The sequence below is a fragment of the Homo sapiens genome, chromosome 6, assembly GCF_000001405.40.
Source record: "Homo sapiens chromosome 6, GRCh38.p14 Primary Assembly".
NCBI classification, from domain to species: Eukaryota; Metazoa; Chordata; class Mammalia; order Primates; family Hominidae; genus Homo; species Homo sapiens.
The window spans coordinates 154,432,907-154,445,830 of NC_000006.12; the positions used below are offsets into that span (position 1 = coordinate 154,432,907).

At 42.0% G+C, this 12,924-nt stretch overlaps 1 protein-coding gene across 5 annotated transcripts in view; it reads right to left on the reverse strand.

Annotated features, from left to right (window-relative positions):
• Positions 1-12,924, reverse strand: part of CNKSR3 (CNKSR family member 3) — a 123,171-nt gene that overhangs the window by 45,392 nt on the left and 64,855 nt on the right. For 4 of the 5 annotated variants that reach the window (NM_173515.4, NM_001368117.1, NM_001368116.1 and 1 more), the window contains exons 3-5: positions 9,182-9,384; positions 8,386-8,473; positions 560-601 (exon numbers count right to left, since the gene is read on the reverse strand). In NM_173515.4, coding sequence (NP_775786.2) covers positions 560-601; positions 8,386-8,473; positions 9,182-9,384 — 333 coding nt within the window. Of the gene's footprint in view, positions 1-559; positions 602-872; positions 1,168-8,385; positions 8,474-9,181; positions 9,385-12,924 lie in introns of those variants that run through there. The other variant, NM_001368119.1, reaches the window with a different exon arrangement.

Genomic DNA, 12,924 nt, shown 5'->3' on the forward strand with positions numbered 1-12,924 from the left:
TTCCTCCAATTTGTTTGGCCTCCCTATTTATGGAAAATATATTTATAGCAGTTTCATTGCTAAATTCCTCAACATCAGTAGGAGGAAGGCCTTATCAAAAGAGCACAGGCTGGCGTATGTCAAAAGGAGGAAGTGATGATGAATAGTTACAAAATGCTCCTTAAACAGTTACAGCACATCCCCCCTCCATCATAAGGTTTTTGCCAAGAATTTTTTTCTTAAATCAAAATGGTCCTAAAGTGAAATTTGCACATCAGTTCAATCCTGACTAGCAGGCTAGCTAGCAATATACATATAACTGTATCCTGATAAAATGTTCAGAAAAAAAAATAAAACAGAGACTCGATGTAGTTAATTTAAGCACAGGAATTTTCACAGTAGTTGGTCTTGTTAAATAACTTTTATGCTTTCTCTTCCACCTAAATTTAAAAACTCATGTCCCAAAAGCCAATATTTCAAAGTATCTCCTGAAGTAATTAGCCACAGGGCATTTACTTAATGTGATTCCCACTGCCTTTGGAAAATGAATTTTACAATAACTTTTAGAATGTATACTTACCACAGTTAAAACTTTATCCTCCATTTCCGCTACAAAGCAATCCTAAAGAAGGGGATGGAGAAAATGAATACTAAGTACAAGAGTTAAAAACGTTCAGAACTGTTGGCCTAGCTTTCTAGACATTTTCTGCAGCTCAAGACGGTCCCTGACACACCCGTCAGCCTGCACAGTCCTGCAGGACTGGGATGGGAATGAGAGGGCAGAGTGGGAACAGAGCTGACGTTTGCACCTTCCGAAGGTCCTGCTCTCCCCTGACCTAAGGAGTTCTCATCCAAGGAACCCACTTGGCCAATTACTTAATTTGAAAACTTACAAAAATAACTGAACTGAAATCCACCTACTCTCCAGACTGTCCAGAGAGTAGTAAGTCAGAAGTCCAAGTCAAGAAACCTGACGACGGCTCCCAATGTGCCCCCAGGAACAGACAGCAGTGGGCCAACAAGCTGGCAGTCTTTAGCTCTGGGCCTGCCTATAAGAATAGCTTTCAAATAAGGGCTTGAGTAAACTCAGCCACAAAAGTTTATTTTAAGCACCACTGAGATTAAATCAGATATTTCAGTCCTTGATAGATGAAAAGGGTTCAACAAAACATTCATTAACACACTGACAAAAAAGTGGTCTTGAGGTATGCTATTGATGACATGAAATAAAGGGCTGGAATGCAAAGCATTATTTATTCAGCTTAAGAACAAAAGGCTTGGAACACTGTATGAACTGGGTTAGCTGATTATAGGAATCACCATTGTCTTGTCTAAAAGCTGCCAAAGTGAAATTGCCAATGTGAAACTTTCACAGTTAACCTTCTAGAACTCATCTGTAGCAAAGGATTTCAACCTATACTGCAGAATGCATGCAGAAAAAAAAAATCGATACAACTAGATTCTATAGAGTTTATTCAGCCCTATTAACTATAATCCCAAGTTAGGACAATCTTAAAGATAATGCTAATTTCTTTTATGTACATGACAAAATGTTAATCAACTGTGTTGGAATTGTCAGGTGAAGATTTTTCACGTCAATCAAAAAGTCATTTTTAGGTCATTTTTTACTACTTCTGAAGGAGGAAGATGCCTGTCAGTTTCTACTCTATATGATTTAATAATCAGACTTTTATTGTCTTCTTACATTTGTTTAAAATTTTTTCTACTAAATAAAAATGTAGGAAACAATAATAATGACTGCTCCTAAAATTTATACTGACTCTCAGGAAAAGAGCAGCCTAGAGAGAAAAGACTTAAAAAAAATAAATTTAGAAATGTATTTTTACATGTGTGAATTTGATATTATCTTAAACTACAGGAGCGGCTTCTGTAAACAGGAATAATTATAGCTCCAAATGTGCTTTTCCAATTCTATCTTGTAGATAAAACTAAACTGTCAACTACCATTATGGCTCATCCCCTATTAATACTGTCTGGCAGACTTGTTAAACACATTTCAACCTTAGAAACACAGTATACATATGTGATCGTGTGCTAGAAATAAAACTAATACTTTATCTTTGTGTCTATAATCTTTCACTACAAATTCCTTTTTTTTTTTTTTTTTAGACAAGGTCTCACTCTCTCGCCCAAGTAGGAATGCAATGGTGCAATCTCAGCTCACCGGCAGCCTTGACCTCCTGGGCTCAAGTGATCCTCCCGCCTCAGCCTCCCAAGCAACTGGGACCACAGGTGCACACCACCACACCTGGCTAATTTTTGTATTCTTTGTAGAGACGGGGTTTCACCATGTTGCCCAGGCTGAACTTGAATTCTAGACTCAAGCCATCCACCTGCCTCAGCCTCCCAAAATGCTAGGGTTACAGGCATTGGTCACCACACCCGGCCCACAAATCTCTAAATTAATACAAGCACTGTCACTTCAGGGAGACCATCACCTAGAGGCAGAGACCAACTCTCAATACACCAGAGCCCAAGAACAAGGTAGACTTGTGACTGCAAGGTTCCTACAACTTGATTCCTTGAGGGATCCAAGAGGCCACCAAGAATATCGGTTCCCTGCAGTGGTGACTGCGGTGGTGATGGAGACAGCAACACAAGGAGCTTCCCGCCTCCCAAATTGTTCCAGTTGGCGTGTGAAAGGACTCCCTCTCACCTCCCGCCACTGTGAACGTGGTTCCCACACCCATTCCTGCCGAGAGGAAGCAGCTGCAGGCATGACTTCACATTGTTTTTTGGCATGAAGGCAATGGAATGGAAAAATGAGTGCAAAACCAAGTCACCGACCCTCCCAGGCTGGACAGTGAGCTGAGCTTCTCACAGCCCTGGGTCACCTGGCAGCAGAGGCCCAGCCTGGGTGGCACTCAGCACCCCCCTGCCTCTCCTCCTATTCTGCCTTCTCAGGAACTGAGCAGTCTTGTGCAGTAGGTTTAACTTCTCTGAGCCTTAGTTTCCTTCTTTCTAAAATGGGGTGATAACAAAGCCTACCTCTGAGATTTGCTGAGAATTCGGTGTGATGGCACGCGTCAAGTGTGAATGCACACCTGCTGAGAATTCGGTGTGATGGCACGCGTCAAGCGTGGATGCACACCTGAGAATTTGGTGTGATGGCACGCGTCAAGCGTGGATGCACAATGGCATGTGTCAAGCGTGGATGCACACCTGCTGAGAATTCGGTGTGATGGCATGTGTCAAGTGTGGATAGACACCTGAGACACAGTCAGCACTCAGCAGCAGTCTTTTCCTCTTCTGCTTCCATGGCTTGCTTTCTTCTCGTGTATGTGACACAGGGTCTCACTGTGTCACCCAGGCTGCAGTGCAGTGGCATGAACATGGCTCACTGCAGCCTCCGCTTCCCAAGCTCAAGCAATCCTCCCACCTCAGCCTCCCAAGTAGCTGGGACTACAGGCACACACCACCACGCTTGGCTAACTCCTTAATTTTTTTTTTTAATATAGAGGTCTCACTATATTGCCCAGGCAGGTCTCAAGCAATCCTCCCAACTTGGCCTCCCAAAGTGCTGGGATTAAAGGCCTGAGCCATTGAGCCTGGCAGGCTTGTTTTCTTTCCATTCAGTTTTCTCAAGGACAAATATTGCTCATTTTCCTAATTCTTTTTTTTGTTGTTGTTAAGATACTATCTTGTTATGTTGCCCAGGCTGGTCTCAAACTCCTGGGCTCAAGAGATCTTCCCATCTCAGCCTCTAGTAGCTGGGCCTCCAGGTGTGCACCAACACATCTGGCGTCATTTTCCTATTTCTTTCCAGACTGAAACTCAGCACCTGCCAGGGCCATTGTGTCTCTCTTGCCGTCTCTATTTCAGTTTTCATGGCATCCGACATGAGGAGACTACACTGGAAATACAGATCTCAATCCCTTCCCACCTTGGGGTCCTTCATCTCAAATTACAGCCTCAACACTGAACGGGAAGATCTATCCTTGTACTTGGTGTAGGACTACAGCTGAAAAAATGTTAAGAAATGAAGAAATTTCTTAAAAGAAATGTGCAGTTTCCTTGCAGGAGAAAAGAAGCAGCAATATGTATCCTTCAAATTAGAGGACTCATAAATTATTATTGGAAGGAAGGATGCAGAGATGGATGGAAGGAAGGATGTCACCACAAGAAGAAGAAGGGGGGACGGCAAGATGTAGAAGAGAGATGGGACAAGCAAATGTCTCTTCACAGACAAGGACACCAAGAATAAAGGCTCAGACAGAACATGTTCTTTGTCACTGGAAAGAGATACAACTTTTATTCCTCCAATTCCCCAGTTAAAAGGAATAAATGGCAAAGACAGATGTCTTCCCAAAGAGTCAACAGATCTTCTGTCAAGCAGCTGCAAGAGAATGTGAAGTCCCCTGGCACGTTCAATCTCATTGCTACCATCACAACGCACATGGGGTAAGCCACACTCAACTCATTTATCAAGTTTGTAATTTCTAATTTGTATGTATCTGAGCGCACAGATGCACAAATATCACCATTTGGCAAAGCACCTATGTTCTTTTTTTTTTTTTTTTTTTTTGAGATGGAGTTTCAGTCTTTCACCCACGCTGGAGTGAAGTGGCGCGATCTTGGCTGACTGCAACCTCCGCCTCCCAGGTTCAAGTGATTCTCCTGCCTTAGCCTCCCAAGTAGCTGGGATATATAGGTGTCCGCCACCATGCCCTGGGTGATTTTTGTATTTTTAGTACAGATGGGGTTTCGCCATGTTTGCCAGACTAGTCTCGAACTCCTGACCTCAGGTGATCTACCCGCCCTGGCCTCCCAAAGTTCAGGGATTATAGGCGTGAGCCACCTCTCCCAGCTATGTTCTTCAATTACTACAGAACATGCGCTTGTCAAGAGCACTTGTCAAGAAACATATTTTTCAATCTAAGTTCAGAAAATGATATCCTGATATATATTTACATATCAGTCTTACTCCTTCAAAACTGTTCAAATTTAAAACAAAAAAATACCAGAGAATAAGGGCAGTATATTTGTCCAGTTCTTCTCTTTAAACTATCAAATTTGATTCCAGAAAACAAGTACAAGGCAAGATTTTTGTATTTCCTACCACAGTCTACTCCTTCTGAAGCAGGCACTGTGCTTTTCACATGTTGTATCTCGATCTCCTGACCTCGTGATCCACCCGCCTCGGCCTCCCAAAGTTCTGGTATTACAGGCATGAGCCACCGCACCTGGCCCACATGTTATATCTCATTTAATCTTCATAACAATCTTTTGGAGTAGGTATTATTTTTTAAGTATTTTATATTATTTATCTGTATCTAATTTTACATAAATGTGGTCATATACATGATTTTTATAAATAAAATTTTTTGTTCTCTTTTTTTGCCTTGGCTCCTACATTCCCTCCCTCTCTCTCCCCCTGCCAGAGTAAACACAACTTTTTTTCTAAATTATCCACTGTATTTACATATTACTTCGTATACAAGTTTGTATAGGATGATGCGTGTTTTATATATACACACACAAACACACACACACACATGCATTTTAGGTATTTATGGTAACCATTTATCTTCATACCACACTTTTTTTTTGCCTTTTTTCTTTTTTAACTCAACATTAACTTGTAGAAATCCCACCAAATTATCTGGTAAGGTAAATATTTGTATTCCCATTCTGTAAATGAGAAAATTGAGGTTCAAAAATTATAAGTGACTCGTCCAAGGCCCCAGGGCTAATTAATGGTAGAGGTAGGATTTGAACCTATAGCTGCCTCTCTCTGAAGAATATGCTCTTAACCACTAGACTAACCTCCCTCAGTGAGCACCACAGGAAAAAGAGAAACAGAAAATGAATGCGGAAACAAACAAAACTAATACCTCTTGTGTCCCTTGAGTTCTGATAAAAGTCAAATTCTCAGCAGCCTATCTGTCCAAAGCATTATTTCGTTCATATAACACACATTTAAAAAGCACCATTCATCATGTCCCAGGCATTCTTAGGCCCCAATAAGCTGGGCAGGCGCAATGAAGACGCTCACAGGTACCTTTCTGATGTGACCAGGACATGTACCTCCTATGGGAAGATTTTTTTATTTAATCATCAGTTCATAACGATCGACCCCTCTCTACAATTACCAGGAAAAGTAGCACTTGAGATGATGCATAAGCCCATCCCATCAGACAAGCACAGACTTCTCCTGGCTGAATTACTCAAGTGTCACCTTCTCAAGGAGGCGGCTCTAGGCACGTATCTCAAACTGTACTCCCCTCACTCCTTCCTGTGCGCCTTCCCTCCCTAGCATTGCTCTACCTTAATATAACCACATATATTCATATATAAAAGTCTGCTTATCTATCCATTTTCTCTCCAGAGACTGTATGCTCCAGAAGGTCAGGGACTTTTTATCTGTTTATTCACTCTGGTATCCCAGGGCAGCAGACACAGAATAAGTGCTAAATAAAAATGTATTGAAAGAAGTGTCCAAATACCTCGGAAGCCAACATCAACTTGCTCAGGCAGAAGTTCACCCCGTGAAACAAACATGACCCCCCCTGCCTTCACTTTCATCCCTTTCTCTCCTCTCCCTACATTGCAGTGGGGACAGCCTGAATCAGCCACACAGTTGAGGACCCTTCACAATAAAACACAAATGTACCAACAAGCAAAACTTTCCCATTTGCTAATCACAATATTTAACTCTTTCATTTAATTGATCGCTAGTAAACTCTGTTAAAAATCAAAACAGGGCCAGGTGCAGTGGCTTATGCCTGTAATCTCAGTGCTTTGGGAGGTAGAGGCAGGGGAATTACTCGAGGCCAGGAGTTTGAGACCAGCCTGGGTAACATAGCAAGACCCTGTCTCTACAAAAAAATGAAAAATTAGCTGGGCATGGTAGCATGCACCTGCAGTCCCAGCTATCCAGGAGGCTAAAGTGGAAGGATTGCTTGAGCAAGGAGGTCGAGGCTGCAGTGAGCCACGATTACACCCCTGCACTTCAACCTAAGCAACAGAGTGAGACCCTGTCTCTTAAAAATAAAACAAAATCAAAATATGAGGAAAATATTACGGGAAGAGGGAAGCAAGGGAGAAAATGGACACTCAAGGTAGGTATCAGGGAAATGCCTTCAACCACAAATGCCATGCCTTCATGGCTGTATGACTAATGCATCACAACTGGTATCAGACTCTTTTTTGTCAAAATTACTTTATGCACCATAAAAAAGAGCAAAAACTCAGAAGCTACTTTACTTGCTCTGAGCACCTTTCTAAGATCATGACCTCAAAACTCCATGTGCCTTGAGAACAATGGCTGCTCAGGACTAGAGCAAACAACTGCCACGTGCAGAGACAAAGTTCACAATTCACATTCCAGAAACAACCAGAAAAAGCACGGCTTTTCAGAATTGCATCTCTGTTATGGCATGGTCAGGACAGAAGGGAGGATGTTCTTTATGTTTTGCCAAATCAGCAGTAGAAACAAATGTGGAAACAGAATTTTAGAACCAAGTGGGACGTGAAAAAACAACAAGCTCTTCCTTACATTTCATAGCCTCAATTCAATTCAAAAATATTTTACAAGCATCTGCTGCATGCCAAGTAACAGGACAGAAGGTAGTCCTAAGAGCTGATGGTCCAAGAAGAAATTTTTTTTTAAATTAAGATCACAGAAGCTCAATCAGTTACAGACTGGCTAATATAAAACTTCCTGAGCCTTTACTAAGATACCTAGGTCTGGGCAATGAGCCATGAGTGAAATTGACATGTGTCACTTGCAGTCCAGAACATCAGTCAGTGTGAGGACCTTCATGGTTTTTACCTTTCTGCCTTGGGGAAAGGCAACATGACATACTAGTGATTCTGTCAACCTATGTCCTGTATACATCTTGAAATGAGGAGTCGGAGGTGATTGCCCTCTAGCCCTGACCCATTTGGATGTAAATAATCAAGGAATAAACTGCTAAGGTTTGAGGTTTGGGGGTTGTTTGTTCCTGTACCACAACCTAGCCCATCCTGACTGGTAAATCCAACAACAAGAGGCCAAAATGAAAAGAAAATTAAGAAGCAGATATAGTAAAGTACTCAGAACAAAGACTATCATGCAACTTAGTTACTCCAGAATTTTCATTAAAAAAAAAAATTAAGTGCTCTAACATTTTAGGGGAAGTACAGGAACTATTAGTTCGCCTATTTTAAAACACACACAAAAAGGTAATCTTTAATTCAAAGGCCACTGGTCAGTTTTCAGAGAAACCATCTTTACAATGATCTAATTTAAAGCCTTTCATCTCTTCCCAGCTCTGATGGAAAAAAAACTGAGGTGGGGAGAGGAGAGTAGTACTTCATACCTGCATGAAAATCCTTTCAAGAAGAGGAAAAGCAAAAAAAAAAAAAAAAAAAAAAAGAAAGTGAAAATGACATACTACTGACCTTCTGGACTGTAGTGGTCAGGTCCAAGCAAAGCTGGATAATTTTGTTCTTCGTGACTGAGAAATCAGTGATCCCTGTAAACGGAGCCCTAGAAGGTAGCAACAATCCTCTTAAAAAGGGGTAGGGAGAATCCACGGGGATCCCACTGGATGTTGGTAAGCATAGCTACCCCATGGGCTACTCTAAATTCCTTTTTGTTTTGTTTTGTTTGAGACTGTGTCTCACTCTGTCGCCCAGGCTGGAGTGCAGTGGGATGATCTTGGCTCACTGCAATCTACGCCTCCCAGGTTCAAGCAACTCTCCTGCCTCAGCCTCCCGAGTAGCTGGGATTACAGGCATGTGCCACCAAGCCCAGCTAAATTTTGTATTAAATTAGTTTTTATTTAACTGTTTTCTCTCAAGTGACACATAAAATAGCAATCTGAATAGAAAGAGAGAAGGAATAGATTAAAAACAAAACAAAACAAAAATTGACAGTTAACATCCCTTCTGAAGTCAACTAACAGCTTTCATACCAATCAAATCCTCAACCATTAATGTTTAATCTCAGTAAAACACAACCTTTAGCACAGTTTCACTCTTCTCTAAGCTGAGGTTAATTTGTTCCTGCTATTAACCTTTTAAGTTAACTGGCAAAGGAATCCTAAAATCTACCACTGATCGAGGACTCCTTAAGAGCCGGTAAAAATGATATGAAAAGAACAATGGTTCCTTTTCCTAAGACAAAGTACAGCTTCCATGCAGCTTGGACTCTATCTACTCTTGCAGGGCAGTAAAAGGCACATCTCCAACTTACCGGTCCAGCCACGCCAGCAGGGCCTTGGCGGCGCCGATGAGCTCCACCACCGAGGTCAGGAACTCATTGGGGGCCTTGCGGGAGGTGTTGCCATCGTAAGCGGGACTTTTCCGTCGGCTACTTATGTAATTCTGTAAATTGTGGGAAGATGCTCTCAGTTTCAGAACCAAGTTCTTCATGTTATCAGTTTCGAGGCCATAATTCTGTGGAAAATAAAATCAAAGAGAAAAATTCAAAACAATGCACAATATTCGACAGGGCGCGGTGGCTCACGCCTGTAATCCTAGCACTTTGGGAGGCTGAAGTGGGCGGATCACGAGGTCAGGAGATCGAGGCCATCCTGGCTAACACGGTGAAACCCCGTCTCTACTAAAAACACAAAAAATTAGCCGGGCGTGGTGGCGGGCGCCTGTAGTCCCAGCTACTCGGGAGGCTGAGGCAGGAGAATGGCGTGAACCCGGGAGGCAGAGCTTGCAGTGAGCCGAGATGGCGCCACTGCACTCCAGCCTGGGCAACAGAGGGAGACTCTGTTTCAAAATAAAAACAAAACAATAAACAAACACCAATATTCAAACTCTCTGATAACTCAAAAGCCCAGTTAGTCACTTGAAAAAAACCTTACAACAACCACAAAACCCTATGTGATCTATCCCCAGCCCACTTCACTCACCCCACCCATATCAGCCTTCTCTCTGCTCCTTCCACAGCCACCCGGGCCTCAGGGACTTTGTTCTTGATAGTTCCTCTTCCCCAAATGCGCCTCCTACAAATATTGTCGTAGACAGCTCATTATTTTTTTATTTTTTTTATTTTATTTTTTGAGACGGAGTCTCACTGTGTCGCCCAGGCTGGAGTACAGTGGTGCCATCTCAGCTCACTGCAACCTCTTCTTCCTAGGTTCACAGGTTCAAGTGAATCTCCTGCCTCAGCCTCCTGAATAGCTGGGATTACAGGCGCGCACCACCATGCCGGGCTAATTTTTGTATTTTTAGTAGAGACGGGGTTTCACCGTGTTGCCCAGGCTGGTCTCGAACTTGTGAGCTCAGGCACAATGCCCCCCTCGGCCTCTCAAAGTACTGGGATTACAGGCGTGAGCCACCGCGCCTGGCCGACGGCTCATTCTTATCACTCAGGTGCTGGCCCAAATGTCCCCTCCCCTGCAAGGCTTCCCTGACCACTTAATCTAGAACAAGGTTTCTCAACCTCAGCCCTACTGACATTTGGGGCCAGATAACGCTTGTGGGGTGGGGGTCCCTGTGTCTTACAGGATGTTTATCAGCATCCCTGCTCTCTACCCATCAGATGGCAGTAGTACCTCCTCCCCCGGTGTGACAACCAAAAATCGCCCTGTGTCCCCTGGTGGCAGAATCGCCCCTTCGATTCACTCTCTAGCCCATCACCCACTTCTGCCCCATCTGAAGCACCGTGTTTGTGGCCTTCTTCCTCCACTGGGACGTGAGGGCTGCAGAAGCAGGGCTCTGTGAGTATGCCCACTACCGTATTTCCAGCACAGTGGACAATCATAGAGTCATGGAATGCATGGATTTCCACCAGGCGAGACACTCACACAAAAAAAAACACAGCAGCACTAACTAAACACCAATTCACTAAGCGTGATCTCCTGAGCTTGAAGATATGGCTCCTGTTTGTACTCCAAGCTACTCAAGAGGCTGAGGTAGGAGGATCGCTTGAGCCCAGGAGGTCAAGGCTGCAGTGAGCTATGATCGTGCCACTGTACTCCAGCCTGAGTGACAGAGAGAGACCCTGTCTCAATCAATCAATAAAATTAATTTCTTGCTCTTGTGCTTCTAACCTGTGTTCTTTTTGAACAATGTTCAGCTTATGTGGGTGCTTCAAAAAAATCAATTTCATGAGATAATACTGTCCTAGACTCCTTTTCAGAGAAAAGAGCCAATCCCAGGAAACAACATGTAAATCTGCAACATTAGAGGTGGGGGTATAAATTTCTGTATTCAGTTGCCTCTGTATGTCCTAAATTGTTTCATCATTTTTAAAAAAACATGACGATATTTCTTGAGATACATTATGCCATCTCAATAGCATCCCAAGGCAAGAATCTGGTACCATTTAAAAACTGAAACTAACAGAATACTTAACATTATTGAACACTTTATGCCAGGAACTGGACTCAGTGTTTGACATGTATTATCTCAGGAAAACAGCCCGTGAAGGTAGAAATGTTTTTATCTCTAATTTGCCGGTAAGGAAACTGGCATGATAACAGTAAATAAATTCTCCAAAGTTACAAAGCTCATCAGCGGTAGTGCTGAGCTTTTGACCAAGGCAATCTGCATCTAGGGCACAAGCTTTTGATTACTCTGCTGTGTATGTCCCCTTCCATACAACCTGCCCAAAAAAGCGCCACATGATAAGACAGATGACAAGATGGACATTAGACAAGAATAAGGAAAACTGTCCAGTGATCCTGGATCCAGCACAAGCTGAATAGCTATTCAGCTTCTCAAAATTCTACACATCCCCTCTGAAGTGGAGAAACTTTTTTTTTTTTTTTTTTTGAAACGGAGTTTCACTCTGTCACCAGGCTGGAGTGCAGTGGTGTGATCTCGGCTCACTGCAACCTCTGACTCCCTGGTTCAAGCAATTCTCCTGCCTCAGCCTCCCAAGTAGCTGGGATTACAGGCAAGTGCCACCATGCTCAGTTAATTTTTGAATTTTTTAGTAGAGACGGGGTTTCACCATGTTGGCCAGGGTGGTCTCAATCTCCTGACCTCATGATCCGCCCACCTTGGCCTCCCAAAGTGCTGGGATTACAGGCATGAACCACTGCACCCGGCTGTGGAGAAACTTCTTTCAGCTGGCTTTGGCTATGTGGGCCAGAGAGAGGCAAGTCACGTGTCAAAATCAAGATACATAAAGCATAAATATACTCGGAAGTAGGTAAGAAACTTTTTTTTTTTTGCAAGATGAACAATGGTAAGTTAAAAACAACAACAAAAGGCTTTAACTTTAACAAAACAATTCTAATTTTAAATAGATTTTACTTGAAGTTTAAATTTATGTTACCTCCTAGTGAAACAAAAAATAATATTTAAAAAATTAGAAATTTTGAAAGAAGCAAAAATTAGCTGAAAATGTTCTCTTCCAAACTTTTGAAAAAAACTGAATTTCAAAATATAAATGAATATTCTATATTAGCAGTATTTTTCTATCTAAATGTGATATTCATTTTTTGTTATTTTCTAGAGACTAAAATATAATAATATTGTCCTTCAATAGAGAGACAAAAATAAGATGGATTTGCATCACAGCTTTTTAAATTCAAAGAATCAAAGACTCACAATTGAATGGATAAAGAGGCCACAAGACAGAGCTTGTTTTGAAGGACTTGTAACTATGATTAAAGGGAAAGGTCCCCTCATTCGGTCACTCAGCCTGCCAACTTACATGAAGAGTTTTGAACTAAAAGCAGGAAAGTCAGCTTTCAATAATCAATGTCACCATAAATTACTTGGAACTTTTATTACCATATACATAACGTTTACTTATTGAACTCAAAGAGGATTAAGAGCATTTTATTGTTGCAAGAAACTTTAAACCTCAATCTTCTAAAAACATACCACTTTTAATACTGAAATAAAGGGGTAGAGTGGCTTCTTATAACTGGTTCTCTTCATTTTCCACTCAGTTTGCTCTTTTTCTTCCCCAAAACAAATAATGGACCTAGAAAGATGAATAAATATAGCTAGAATAGAATTTTTAAA